The sequence below is a fragment of the Homo sapiens genome, chromosome 16 (assembly GCF_000001405.40).
Source record: "Homo sapiens chromosome 16, GRCh38.p14 Primary Assembly".
NCBI lineage: Eukaryota > Metazoa > Chordata > Mammalia > Primates > Hominidae > Homo > Homo sapiens.
In genome coordinates, this window is record NC_000016.10 from 88,531,824 (window position 1) to 88,545,838 (window position 14,015).

General features: G+C 61.0%; 1 protein-coding gene across 6 annotated transcripts in view, besides 5 other annotated features; it reads left to right on the plus strand.

Annotated features, from left to right (window-relative positions):
- Positions 1-5,208, plus strand: part of ZFPM1 (zinc finger protein, FOG family member 1) — an 85,263-nt gene extending 80,055 nt beyond the window's left edge. For all 6 annotated transcript variants that reach the window (XM_011522914.3, XM_047433667.1, NM_153813.3 and 3 more), the window contains 4 exons: positions 179-412; positions 791-886; positions 966-1,112; positions 1,325-5,208. In XM_011522914.3, the coding sequence (XP_011521216.1) occupies positions 179-412; positions 791-886; positions 966-1,112; positions 1,325-3,156 (2,309 nt within the window). In that variant the 3' untranslated portion in view covers positions 3,157-5,208. The remainder of the gene's footprint in view (positions 1-178; positions 413-790; positions 887-965; positions 1,113-1,324) is intronic.
- Positions 1,601-2,161: an enhancer, noted in NCBI's record as "H3K27ac-H3K4me1 hESC enhancer chr16:88599832-88600392 (GRCh37/hg19 assembly coordinates)". NCBI's record gives its function as "activates a minimal SCP1, AML or CMV promoter by ChIP-STARR-seq in naive H9 embryonic stem cells {active_cell/tissue: H9 hESC(naive)}" and the evidence as "EXISTENCE:reporter gene assay evidence [ECO:0000049][PMID:30033119]".
- Positions 2,162-2,723: an enhancer, noted in NCBI's record as "H3K27ac hESC enhancer chr16:88600393-88600954 (GRCh37/hg19 assembly coordinates)". NCBI's record gives its function as "activates a minimal SCP1, AML or CMV promoter by ChIP-STARR-seq in naive H9 embryonic stem cells {active_cell/tissue: H9 hESC(naive)}" and the evidence as "EXISTENCE:reporter gene assay evidence [ECO:0000049][PMID:30033119]".
- Positions 2,162-2,824: a biological region, named in NCBI's record as "H3K27ac hESC enhancer GRCh37_chr16:88600393-88600954".
- Positions 2,365-2,824: a silencer, noted in NCBI's record as "silent region_7856". NCBI's record gives its function as "represses an Ori minimal core promoter by ATAC-STARR-seq in GM12878 lymphoblastoid cells {active_cell/tissue: GM12878}" and the evidence as "EXISTENCE:reporter gene assay evidence [ECO:0000049][PMID:35858748]".
- Positions 7,871-8,473: an enhancer, noted in NCBI's record as "H3K27ac-H3K4me1 hESC enhancer chr16:88606102-88606704 (GRCh37/hg19 assembly coordinates)". NCBI's record gives its function as "activates a minimal SCP1, AML or CMV promoter by ChIP-STARR-seq in naive H9 embryonic stem cells {active_cell/tissue: H9 hESC(naive)}" and the evidence as "EXISTENCE:reporter gene assay evidence [ECO:0000049][PMID:30033119]".

Sequence of the window (14,015 nt, forward strand, 5' to 3'; positions counted from 1 at the left end):
TGGGGCTGTCACAGGACCATCCAGGAGGCTTACAGTTACAGGAAGGGGTCAAAGCCTCAGCTCCTGGGGTGGGGAGGACGGTGGGGTCCGTCACGGCCAGGCCCTGCCTCCGCCCACAGCCTTGCCCTGGCTGGCAGGCTGGCCTTCAGCCTGACCCCGCCTGCTTCCCACCCCACAGAAGACGTCTTCCCCTGCAAGGACTGTGGCATCTGGTACCGCAGCGAGCGCAACCTGCAGGCGCACCTGCTCTACTACTGCGCCAGCCGCCAGGGCACCGGCTCCCCGGCCGCAGCCGCCACAGACGAGAAGCCCAAAGAGACCTACCCCAACGAGCGCGTCTGCCCCTTCCCCCAGTGCCGCAAGAGCTGCCCCAGCGCCAGCTCCCTGGAGATCCACATGCGCAGCCACAGCGGTGAGCCCCCACCCCGGACGCGGGTCCTCAGGATGCCGGCTGCTTCCCCACCCAGTCCCGCAGGCCGCCCGGGAAAACCCACATGCAAGCACACACGGTGCCACCATTCACCTGCGCGGTCTCCGGCACACCCAGGGCCCCCGCAGGGGCCCAGAGCAGGCAGGCCGGACTGTGGGCTATCTGGGTAGTCAGCTGAGGGCTGGGCCCACTGCTGTCCCGAGAGACAAAAGGCGGAGGAGGAGGAGGAGGGGTTTAAAGACCCTTCAGCACAGGGTCCCCCGGCACAGATCACGGCCCTGGGCCCAGTCGCCTTCCTCATCCCTGGAGTCCCAAGGTTAAGCTGGCCCGGGCACCGCTCTTACGCGCCCTGTGTTCCAGGAGAGCGGCCCTTCGTGTGCCTGATCTGCCTGTCGGCCTTCACCACCAAGGCCAACTGCGAGCGGCACCTCAAGGTGCACACGGACACGCTGAGCGGTAGGCACCGCAGGGGCCGGGGGGTGTGTGGGTCCCGCCTCCCCGCCCTGGGCCTTGACCACCTCGCCATGGCCCACAGGTGTCTGCCACAGCTGTGGCTTCATCTCCACCACAAGGGACATCCTCTACAGCCACTTGGTCACCAACCACATGGTCTGCCAGCCTGGCTCCAAGGGTGAGATCTACTCGCCAGGGGCCGGACACCCAGCAACCAAGCTGCCCCCAGGTGAGCAGCCCTGTGGGGGCCACCCCTGCCCCTTAGGCCCCCTGAGCAGTGGGAAGGGAGTGGGCTTGTCGCCCAAGACAGGTGGGGGTCCGTTTCAGCCTTCGCTCTAAACCACTCCCGCCCACCCCTCCCCTTCCGGAGCTCGCCCTCCAGCTCTGACCGGCCAGGTCCTGCCCCAGGCCTGAGGTGCCACCCCTGCGATCTCTCTGCAGACAGTCTGGGCAGCTTCCAGCAGCAGCACACGGCCCTGCAAGGCCCCCTGGCCTCCGCGGACCTGGGCCTGGCGCCCACCCCATCGCCAGGACTGGACAGAAAGGCCCTGGCCGAGGCCACCAACGGAGAGGCCAGAGCGGAGCCTCTGGCCCAGAATGGAGGCAGCAGCGAGCCCCCGGCGGCCCCCAGGAGCATCAAGGTGGAGGCGGTGGAGGAGCCGGAGGCGGCCCCCATCCTGGGCCCCGGAGAGCCTGGGCCCCAGGCCCCGTCGCGGACGCCGTCGCCGCGCAGCCCCGCCCCGGCCAGGGTCAAGGCCGAGCTGTCCAGCCCCACGCCGGGCTCCAGCCCGGTGCCCGGCGAGCTGGGCCTGGCCGGGGCCCTGTTCCTTCCGCAGTACGTGTTCGGGCCCGACGCGGCGCCCCCCGCCTCGGAGATCCTGGCCAAGATGTCCGAGCTGGTGCACAGCCGGCTGCAGCAGGGCGCGGGCGCGGGCGCCGGCGGCGCGCAGACCGGGCTCTTCCCCGGGGCCCCCAAGGGCGCTACGTGCTTCGAGTGCGAGATCACCTTCAGCAACGTCAACAACTACTACGTGCACAAGCGCCTCTACTGTTCAGGCCGCCGTGCGCCCGAGGACGCGCCTGCCGCGCGCAGGCCCAAGGCGCCCCCCGGCCCGGCCCGCGCGCCCCCCGGCCAGCCCGCCGAACCCGACGCGCCGCGCTCGTCCCCGGGCCCCGGAGCGCGCGAGGAGGGGGCTGGGGGCGCGGCCACGCCCGAGGACGGCGCGGGCGGCCGGGGCAGCGAGGGCAGCCAGAGCCCGGGTAGCTCCGTGGACGACGCGGAGGACGACCCCAGCCGCACGCTGTGCGAGGCCTGCAACATCCGCTTCAGCCGCCACGAGACCTACACCGTGCACAAGCGGTACTACTGCGCCTCGCGCCACGACCCGCCGCCGCGCCGACCGGCCGCGCCCCCGGGACCCCCTGGGCCGGCCGCGCCCCCGGCCCCCTCTCCCGCCGCGCCTGTGCGCACGCGCAGACGCCGCAAGCTCTACGAGCTGCACGCGGCCGGCGCCCCGCCCCCCCCGCCGCCCGGCCACGCCCCCGCGCCCGAGTCGCCGCGGCCCGGAAGCGGAAGCGGAAGCGGCCCCGGCCTCGCCCCTGCGCGCTCGCCCGGCCCCGCGGCCGACGGCCCCATCGACCTGAGCAAGAAGCCGCGGCGCCCGCTCCCCGGAGCCCCGGCACCGGCGCTGGCCGACTACCACGAGTGCACGGCCTGCCGCGTGAGCTTCCACAGCCTCGAGGCCTACCTGGCGCACAAGAAGTACTCGTGCCCCGCTGCGCCACCGCCCGGCGCGCTCGGCCTGCCCGCCGCCGCCTGCCCCTACTGCCCCCCGAACGGCCCGGTGCGCGGGGACCTGCTGGAGCATTTCCGCCTGGCGCACGGCCTGCTGCTCGGCGCGCCCCTGGCCGGCCCGGGGGTCGAGGCCCGGACGCCGGCCGACCGCGGCCCCTCGCCCGCTCCCGCCCCCGCCGCCTCCCCGCAGCCCGGGTCCCGTGGCCCCCGGGACGGCCTCGGCCCGGAGCCCCAGGAGCCGCCGCCCGGCCCGCCCCCGTCCCCGGCCGCCGCGCCCGAGGCCGTGCCGCCCCCGCCGGCGCCCCCCTCCTACTCGGACAAGGGCGTCCAGACTCCCAGCAAGGGCACGCCGGCGCCGCTGCCCAACGGCAACCACCGGTACTGCCGTCTTTGCAACATCAAGTTCAGCAGCCTGTCCACCTTCATCGCCCACAAGAAGTATTACTGCTCCTCGCACGCCGCCGAGCACGTGAAGTGAGCGCCCACACTACAGCCGCAGACGCTTTGCACGCCCCGCTGCGATGCGGGGAGGGGGCCGCCCCCAGGCCGCACGGACTGCCGCTCCTGGGAACCCCGCCACGCACAGGCCTCGGCGGAGGGGGCCGCAGGGGGCAGCGCCCGCCTGGACCCTTGGCACTTAATAAAGAAGTTCAGTTTGATGAGCATGGTGGTGGGCCAGCCTAGTTCTCTGAGCCAGCAGGCACACGCAGCCAGTGTCACATCCAGCCCTGCTGTGTACACAGGCCACTGCGGCCCGGAGTGGCTGGGCCCCTGCCGGAGTTACACCACTGGGTGCTAAGAGCTAGACCGAGCGTCAGGTCGGAGGCCACAGCACACACTGAACCACTGCAGGGCCAGCCGCTCTGGGCCTACCCCACCCCAGCCCTGTCCATACCCCCCTAGGGAGAGCAGCCTCCACACTGCTGACCCTCTCCACGGTCTACTTGGCCGCCAGACACGGAAGAGAGGGGCACTGACCTGGCTGGCCATCCCCCAACCCTGCATGGTCCTGGGGGTCCGATGTCCCCCATCCAGTCACAGACCACCAGGGATGGCAGGGGTGGGGGCGCCCTGGGGAGGATGAAGCCCTGTGGTGGCCAAGGCTGGGGGAAGAACAGGCGAGTAGGTGGACAGGAGAGGGAGACCGAGGCCGAAGCATTCCCTGGCCTCGAGGGGGTCCTGATGCTCACTGGTGGGTGCATCTCTCCCTCAGAGCCAGGGCTGAGGACAACCGTGTGGTGGAGTCACCTGTGGTGGCTGAGTCGGTGCAAGGGTCAGGGCACCCCCACCCCCCGTCTTCCCTGCCCTGCTGGGCTGTATGGGCCGGCCACACTGAGGGAGTACTTGGCTGACCGCGTTCAGCCACGGTGTCACCGTGCCGTTTGCAGCTGGGTGGCTGTGGGCAGCCTCCAGCGTGCTTTCTCACTGGAGAACAAAAACACTCTTCTATTCCCAACGTCACTTTATTTTTTTATTTTTGGGTCTCACTCTCTTGCCCAGGCTGGAGTCCCTGGGATACTCACGGCTCATTGCAGCCTTGACCTCGTGAGCTCAAGTGATCTTCCCACCTCAGTTTCCTCAGTAGCTGGGGCTACAGGTGTACACCACCATGCCCAGCTAGTTTTTGTGTTTTTTGTAGAAATGGTGTCTCCCTATGTTGCCCAGGCTGGGCAACCCTATATTTTTTAGAGCTAAGGTCTTGTTCGGTTCCCCAGGCTGAAGTTCAGTGGCACGATCATAAGTCACTGCAGCCTCAAACTCCTGAGCTGAAACCATCTTCCTGCCTCAGCCTCCCAAGTAGCTGGGACTACAGGCTTGACCCACCACACCTGGCTAACTTTTAAAACATTTTTATAGAGACAGGGTCTTCCTGTGTTGCCCAAGATGGTCTCAAACTCCTGACCTCCAGTGCTCCTGCAGCCTCAGCCTCCCAGAACATTAGGATGACAGGCGCGAGCTACCATTCCCAGCCCATTTCCAACTCTACTTGAACTAGCTGCATTTTTTTCAGCTTTGCCCAGCAGCCCTGGTGAGTGCAGGCAAAGAAGGCAGCGGCCTCTTGCCTCAGAAGCCCGAGGCACTTCCCAGCCAGTCCAGGGCTCGCTCTCCTGCCCGCAGCTCGTGGGCCTGGGTCTGCAGCGCTTTCAGTGGTCTCTGATGTCTTTGTCCACCTGCCCACTAGGGTCTGGCCAGATGGGGCCCGTAGCCAAGGCCAATGGACAGACATGGCTTCCACCCCCTCCCAGGGACCTGAGCTCCAGGGAAGGCAAGCAGCCTTTTCCTCACAGACACCCCTTCTGTTGAAGACCAGGTGATAGCGGGGACGGGAGGCACGGACCCCTCAAGTCTGCTCATCATTTGCATTGTTGTGCATGAATTTGCGTGGAGGGTTCAGGAGGCTCTGCCCCCAAGTCCTCCCCAGGTGCGGGCGCAGGGTACAAGATGTTCTAAAAAATAGAAACCTGGTGGGGGGTTGTCACTGTGTGTACATTTAAAAGTAAACTGTTTAAAGGTGTCTAGAAACTACGAATACAGTCTCTGGTGAGTGACAGGTGCTCAAAGGGGGTAAAAAACACAACTCCAGTGTCCTCACCCCCTTTGAGCCCCACCCCAAACCTGACCAAGCGAGGCCCTGGAATGCAAGACGCAGAGGAGAATCTGGAAGACAGCCCAGCAGTGCCGCACAAACCCGCCATGCACCCAGACGTGCCTCAGTGTCCACACCTGTGCCGCAGGAGTGGGAGTTCGGGCCTGGCAACCCTTCCTGGGGGCTCATCTCAGAGGCAGCAAGGACCCTGTGACCGGGACCCAGACCTGAAGTCACCCCAGAGGGCCCCGCCACGGCCCGGACTCGAAGCTTAGGGCAGCACACTGAGCCTCACGAAGGGCCCTGCGCCTGTCCTGGCTTGCATAACCCCCTACTGTCCCCACCATGCAGGGCTGGGTACCGCTGCCATCGCCCGTCCCAGGTCATTGGCGTGTGGCCAGAGCCCGTCCCCATCGCACCCAGGACTCGCCTCGGGCACGCGTCTTCTGCACAGACCCTGGGGCCCCCACACCTGGCAGACGCCATCAGTCACCCCTACTCCCTCAAGCCATCACCCCAGTCTCCCCCCACCAGACCACCGCCTGGGCCTCCACCCTGTGCCTCCCCTGTAGCCGCTGACTCGGTGGTGGCCCAGGCCTTCTCCCGCCTCTCCCCAGGAAGCTGCCTGCCCTGCTCACAGACACCCCCTCGGCCCCCCAGCTGGTTCTCTGCTGAGCCAGGTTCAAGGCTCTGAGTCTGCCCTGGTCTCCCCTTGAAGTTCTCCCTCCACACTCCTGGGGTGGGCTCATGGTCTTCTCTCCACTAATTCTGTAGTCTAGCCACGCCTCCCCTGAGCCCCAGACCTGCAGACCTACAGCCCCTGTGTCCTTCCAGGCCCTTGATGTACCATGAGTGACTGTAACCCCACGCACCTGTAACTTCTGCCCACACCTGTGCAGGTGTTCCCCTCCCCCAAGCCCACCTGTCTCCCCACACCAGTGCAAGCACCCCCCTGGCTCACTGTCTCCTCCCCTCACCTGCACAGGCATCACCCCGAGCCCACCTGTCTCCCCACCAGCCCACCTGTCTCCTCCCCTCACCTGCATAGGCATCCTCAGTGGCCCCCTGCCCCTCAAGCTGGAGAGCATCAGCCTTGCCTATTCACCCTTCATTGTCAAAGCAATGCTTGATTTGTCCAAATCCCACCGCTTCCCAAACCCATCCACCATCGCCGACTCCCAGACCTGGGACTTCACCCTTGAGTCTCTCTGAACAGCCGCTTCCAAATCTCGAGGGTCCACTCCTCACACAGCTGCCACCGCTCCCCTCTCCCAGGCTCACCCTGCTCTGAGGCCCGTCCCCGCCCCCAGGTGCCTGTGCTTCGCGTAAAACCCCTTCTGTTACTGGCCCCATCCTTCAGAGGTCAGAAGTCCCCCTTCTCTGCCTCAGCACAGAGGAGAGGAGCCTCCCGTTGGCGGCCTGTCCCGACGGCAGCCCCTGGCCCTGCTAAGCCCACCACCCGCTGGGCTCCATGCTGCAGCTGGTTGCTCCAGGCAGTGCCTCCTGATGCCCTCTCTACTCCTCCGAGGCTGTCCTTGTCATCCAGCTCTCAGCTTAGGTGCCCCCTCAGACCTGTCCCTGGCTCACTTCCCGCGTAGGAACGGTCACTCTGCACCTCTGTCCCCAGCTCGCTCCCGTGTAGGAATGGTCACTCTGCACCTCTGTCCCCAGCTCACTCCCACGTAGGAACGGTCACTCTGCATCTCTGTCCTCTTGCCCGTCGCCTACTGGCCTGTCTCCTTTGAAAGCTGGGGCTGCGCCTGCTTGACCTCTGCCTCCCAGGCACCCACAAGTGGCCGACACAGAGGAGGGGTCTGCATCTGTTGAAGTCACAGGGGTGTGTGTGGACCACAGCCAGCCCCTCCCCATGCCCAGCAGTCAGTCCAACTGTCACAGCCCACTTTCCAGCCACACTGTCCACTCATGGCACACGGCCACCGTCACAGCCCACTCTCCAATCACACTGTCCACTGAGTCCCATGTGTGACCTGAGCTTCTTGGATCTCGGACCGCTGCATTCCAAGCTGCTCTCTCCCCACTCCTCCCCCCTCCCCACTCCCCCCAGCTTTGCCTGTGAAACTCCTTCTCTCCTCAAGACTGGCTTAAAAGGTCCCCCTCAGGGCCACCCAGCCAGGCTGTACCCGTCCCCTGCCCTGCACAGGATGGGCCTCCCGCCTCCACCCTCCTTCTTCCAGGAGGGCACCTGCTCCCTTCTACCTGAGCTGCATACAGCTCAAAGCCCCTTGCAGGCTGGCAACTCCCAGGCAGGGTCAGCCCAGCCTGCCGGGAGTCCCTCACGCTACTTGGGACACAACGTCCACGAGATGATGCAGGGCAGCCTCGCCCTCCTGAGGCCCCTTCCTCTGCCAGGCACAGGGTCTGTCCTCTCAGCCACACCATGGGCTGAGTGCCCTGACTGTGCACGAGGGCCCCAAGGTTCCATCGGGACACACCTCCTGCCCAGGCACCTGGCGGGCACAGCTGGGCCAGGACACATCCCTCTGCTGGCTTCCAGCACTCGGTTCTCGACCACCAGCCGTACTGCTGGGCACTGGCTCCCAGCCACGCCCTGGCTTACAGAAAGCTCAGGCCTAGCAGAAGCCCACCCCAGCCTGCCTGAGGAAGGGTGGGAGTGGAGAGGGCCCCCACTGCCGGCCCTGTCTCCCACACCAGGACACCAACATGCAGAGCAGGACATCACCTGTGGCTGGGGGGCTGCGTGAGCTGGCAACCGTCGGATGGGTCTGCTCTGAAAACCGGTCCCCACCTGTCCCCCGCAAGCCGACCCCTCGGGAGAGCCCAGCTTTGGAGTCTCAGGCAGAGCCTCAGGACGCCAGGAGGCAGCAAAGCCGTTGCACTCTGGCCTGCCCTGTATCTGCCGGGGCCTTGCAGAGGGGGAGGGAGGAAGATTGGGAGGAGGCAGCCTCACCCCCTCAACACCCAACCCCCTCCTCCTTGGAGGTGCCAGGGAGAGGTGAAGAGAAGAGCAAACCATGCAGCTGTGGACAGAACTCGCCTCGGGACCTCGGGCTGGGAGTGTCTCAGAGGTGAGCCAGGCAGGGGCAGGGAGGGTCGGGAGCTCCGGGCAGAGGTTAGGGTTAGGGCGGGACGCATGGAGGAGGGAGGCGCAGAGCAGGAGGTCTCGCAGCTTTTCGGAAGCGCATCCATTTCCACAGCGAGGGAAGGAGCAGGGGAGGTGACTGGCCACCCGGGAGGAGCTTGGCCACCAGACAGCCAGGTGGCCTGGACCTGGCGAGAGTGGCGAACCCGGCAGAATCCCAACCTCACAGGGCTGTTCCAGGCTGCTTCCAACACGACCCTGGAGGCACATCCTCTGATGCTGTCCTTGGGCAGGGAGCAGGGGGCTCCCAGGCACGGTGACTTGCCCAGGGTCACAGGAGTGACCACCAAGATGCAAGGGAAATACACAGCCTGAGCCCTGCCTTGCACACGGCGGCCCTCGCACCAGCACGGCCTCCCCATCTGGCACCCTCAGAGCCCCTCTGTCCCCTCAGAGCCCCAGGCCTCCCCAGCACTGCCCACAGACCTGCAGCAGCTTCTGTCTGGCTGCTTCCCTCCCTGCCGGCCAGGGCCTGGGAATCTGCATTTAACCAGCTCCCAGCAGTTTGCTCTCTGGCACGTGTGAGACCTGCACTCACAGCAGGTGCCCAGACCGTGGGCGCCGACCTCACTAGCTCACCAGCAGGAGCACACACAGCCCTGCTCACCAGGCCTTCGTCAGCTGAGGCAGGGGCGGGGCAGGGAGAGAGCTGGACCCAGATCTCTGCCCAAGGGCCGTGTCCTGCCCTGCGCGGAGTGCACACTTGGCCCTCCCCTTCTCTGACACTCCTGGTGAACAGGGTGGCGAGGGCAGTAGCCCCACCCTCGAACGCAGGGCATGGGCTGAGGCTGAAGGAATGCCTAGGAGAGTGTGGCGTGTGCAGGTGGGGGGCGGAAAGGGGCAGGGAAGGGTGAAGAGGACCTTGGTGTCCTGGCTAATCCGAGTCCTCCGTGTTGAACCCCAAACCCCAAGCAGCCGGGAGAAGCTGGAGCAGGCCTGGCACACACCCTAACTCCAGTCTGAAATTCTGGGCCCCTCCTGCACAGCCCAGATCCCCCCAGGAGGCCGCTGATGGCTCAAAGAAGGTCTCATATGCTCTCATGGGCGTATGCCACCAGCCTGAGGCAGAGACCCAAGGCCCACACGCCCGGCTATTGCCGTGAGCCGGCAGCACGTGGCCTTGATTCTCTTCCCGATGCAGGACAGGTGGGCCACGCAATTGAGGCTTAGCCAGGAAAGAATTCAAGGGCAGGCCAGGGTGTTAGACGGCAGCAGTCTGTTATTGAACAATTTTACTCCTTGCAGAGCAAGGCTAACTCCCTGGCAGTGCATCCAGAGTCCACAGTGCTCTTGGCAACTGTATTTATAACCACTTAAACCCCTCTTCAATTACATGCAAATTAAAGGGTGGGTTAATGCAAATTGAGGAGCAGGTTACTTAGGACTTTCTTTTTGTTTGTTTTGTTTTGAGACAGAGTCTTCCTCTGTCTCCCAGGCTGGAGTGCAGTGGCATGATCTTGGCTCACTGCAACCTCCATCTCCCGGGTTCAAGTGATTCTCCTGCCTCAGCCTCCCAAGTAGCTGGGATTACAGAAGCCTGCCACCACGCCCGGCTAATTTTTGTATGTTAAGTAGAGACAGGTTTTCACCATATTGGTCAGGCTGGTCTCGAATTCCTGACCTCAGGTGATCACCTGCCTCAGCCTCCCACAGTGCTGGGATTACAGGCACGAGCCACCGCGCCCGGCTGTTACTTAGGACTTTCTAGGCAAGGGGCAATAACTTCCCCAGCATTGCCACGTAAAGCAGGTTACGTCCAGGCTGTTGCCATGGTGTTTGTAAACTGTCATGGGGCTGGTGGGACTGTGTTATGCCAGAGAACAATGAGGCAGCTAGGGATCGCCTTCCTCGCCATCTGCTGGTTCCTGCTGCTTTCCTTACTTTATCCTTTCTGGACCAGATCACGTTTTGGTCAGCAAGGTTGTGACCAGAAATGTCCTGCTGGTTTCCTACCTCAGAACAGCTCAGAGGCTGCATGTGGGTGGCCCGCCCTTGGCTCTAATAGGGTCTCTGGCTATGGAAAGCAGGCTTGGGCCTCTCAAGAGGCTGGGGGCCGTCCTTATGGGCTGTGCTCTCATGTCCCCTGCAATGCATCTCCCCCACCAGCCTGCCTGGCCTGGGCACATTGATTGTTGGGCAACTGTCACTGTGGCTGCTGTCACCTCCCCCGAGGTTCTCCCCATTAACCAGCTGGCTGCACTCCTCGTTAGACCCTGCCAACTGGGGCCTCCGAAGGGGCACAGAGCCAGCAAGTTTGTCCCTCCTGCCATCTGCTGGGAAGGGCCAGAGAGCTGGCCCCTCCTTCCTTCCACAATCAAACATGGAGGTGGCAAGGAAGTCTCCAGAGCCTGGGCTTGAAGTTTCGAGTCCTGGCTTGGGATCCAGTGTCTGCACATCCCACAGGAAGGCCGGAGACAGGGAGGAGCCTGGTGGGAAGACATTGTCAGGGAGGGCGAATTATAAATGAAGAGATGCGGCTGGCACCAATCAGATGGGCGGTGCGGGAATGGGAAGCACCAGGTGCCAGCAGCAGGTGGATAGGCAGCTCCAGTGCACCTGGCGGGCAGGTGCAGCCCCCTCAAATGCCGCCTGGCCATGGATGGTGGAGATTGCTGGGTCACAAGCCATCCCAGCACAACCTCCTGGCGTTGCGTTCTTTCTTCCTTAATAGCATCCTGTAAATGTTCATTAATGAGGGCCTGACTGGGCAAAACTATGCTACTGTTTTCTCTGAAAAGCTTTTATTGTGCCATAATTCTTGAACGAGAAGTTGGCTGGACACTCCATCCAGCTTGACAGTTCACTTTTCTCATTCTTTGAAGATGTGCTAGGCCTGGCATGGTGGCTCACGGCTATAATCCCAGCACCTTGGGAAGCCAAGCCGAGTAGATCACCTGAGGTCGGGAGTTCGAGACCAGCCTGACCAACATGGATAAACCCCTGTCTCTACCAAAAATACAAAAAATTAGCCAGGCGTGATGGCACATGCTTGTAATCCCAGCTACTCAGGAGGCTGAGGCAGAAGAATCACTTCAGCCCGGGAGGCAGAGGTTGCAGTGAGCCGAGATGGTGCCATTGCACTCCAGCCTGGGCAACAAGAGTGAAACTCTGTCTCAAAAAAAAAAAACAAAGGAAAAGATGTGCTTCCACTTTTCTCTGACTCTCATTGTTGATGAAGAGTAGTCAGCTGTATTTCTTTATCATCACCTCTTTCAGGATCGGTTCACCGTTAACAGCCTGCAATTGTATACAGTTCACTAAGTGTGCATCCTCGTTGGCATTCCTACATCCGAGAATTCTTACCTTTCAACATTTTTGAAAAATCCCCAGCCATTTTGTTTTTGAATGTTGCCTTTCCCCATTCCCTCTGCTCTCCTTTCTGGAACTCTGATTAGATTTATATTAGATTCTCTTCTCTACTCTGTACTTCTTAGCTTCTCTTTCAGATTTTCTATCTCCTTATCTCTCTGCACTCCTAATGGGTCATTTCTTCTGATCTACTTTCTGGTCAATAAATTCCCTCTTTACCAGTGTGTTATCTGTTGCTTAATCTGCGGTGAATATTTTTTATGGCATTTTTCATTTCTAAAGTTGAAAACGCACATTCTGATGATGGTGGTGATGGTGACAATAGTGTGTGATAATGATGATGATAGTGACGATCATGGTAATGATGAAAATAATCAGTACAACTATCAAAGATTGGCCAGGCACGGTGGCTCACACCTATAATCCCAGCACTCTGGGAGGCCGGGTGTGGTGGCTCACACCTGTAATCCCAGCACTTTGGGAGGCCAAGGCAGACAGATCACAAGGTCAGGAGTTCGAGACCAGCCTGGCCAATACGTGAAACTCCGTCTCTACTAAAAATACAAAAATCAGTCAGGCATGGTGGCTGGCGCCTGTAGTACCAGCTGCTCGGGAGGCTGAGGTAGGAGAGTCACTTGAACCTGGGAGGCAGAGGTTGCAATGAGCCAAGAAGCCAAGATCGCACCACTGCACTCCAGCCTGGACGCCAGAGCAAGACTCCGTCTCAAAAAAAAAAAAAAAAAGAAAAAAAAAAGCACTACCAAAGATCATCATTGTTGGCTGCACTTGTGGTTTCAGGCAGGTAGCCTTGGCGAGTTTGTTCATACCTCATGATCATTGGAGCTGAGATTTGCAAACTGCTCAGTGCAGCCCTGACTCCCTGTGAGTCAAAAGCCACTTCTCACCTCACCAGGAGCTGTGGTGTTTGTTGGGTGTCAATGTACGACTTTAGTTGTTGTTGTTTTAAAGTTCTACTGTGTGTTTTTTTAAAGGACCAGTGAAATTTGAAAATAGCCAAGGAAAAGAAAACTGGTTCCCACAATCACAGACACCACCATGGAACACACCAAGGCAATTTCTTCATTATAAAAATTTTATTATGAAGAGACAGGGGCCGGACGGGGTGGCTCACGCCTGTAATCCCAGTACTTTGGGAGGCCAAGATGGGTGGATCAAGAGGTCAGGAGATTGAGACCATCCTGGCTAACACGGTGAAACACCATCTCTACTAAAAAAATACAAAAAATTAGCCAGGCGTGGTGGTGGGCGCCTGTAGTCCCAGCTATTCGGGAGGCTGAGGCAGGAGAATGGCGTGAACCCGGGAAGCGGAGATTGTGGTGAGCGGAGATCGCGCCACTGACTCCAGCCTGGGTGACAGAGCGAGACTCTGTCTCAAAAATAAATAAATAAATAGATAAAATAAGAGACAGGGTCTCACTATATTGCCCAGGCTGGTCTGTGAACCGCTGTGCTCGATTGGTCCTCCTGCCTCAGCCTCCCAAAGTGCTTGGATCACAGGCATGAGTCGCCGCACCTGGCCAACACGGGGGCAGTTTTTGATGCAATGTCTGCAGTGGCTGGAGGGAGCTGGGCTCCTGCTCACATCATGCTTTGTGCTTCGGTTGCTCCCACTTCAGGGCTGCACTCACCCTCCCTCAGCAAACCTCAGACTTGGAAGAGGCTACCATGAGGGTGTGTGGCTTGGTTTAGACCTTGTTGACAAAGAAGTCAGTTAATCCCAAGTTCAGTAACTAATAAACATCAGCACATGGTAACACACAGTCTAACTACTAGTTTTTTTGTTTTTTTTTGTTTTTGGGTTTTTTTTTGAGACGGAGTCTTGCTCTGTCGCCCAGGCTGGAGTGCAGTGGCTCCATCTTGGCTCACTGCAACCTCCGCCTCCCAGGTTCAAGCGATTCTCCAGCCTCAGCCTCCTGAGTAGCTGGGATTATGGGCCTGGGCCACCACGTCTGGCTCTGTGAGTCAGCACAGGGAATCTTACCATGGACGCTGCCGGGAGATGCAGGGCCACTCAGGTGTGCACGTACACTGGATTCAAATACAGGCAGCAGACATAGACAACGATGCCGGGAGAGGGGCGGCTGGCAGAAGAATGGCCCCAAAGATGCCTGTGTTTTCATCCCCAGGGGGAGCCTGTGAAGGCGCAGCCTCATGCAGCAGAGGGGAGTTAAGGCTGCAGGGGAAGTTGAGGTTGCTCATCAGCTGACCCAAGATACAGAGATTACCCTGGATCATCCTGGTGGGCACAGCATAATCACAAAGTTCTTATCAGTGGAAGAGGGGTCAGGAAGAATACCAG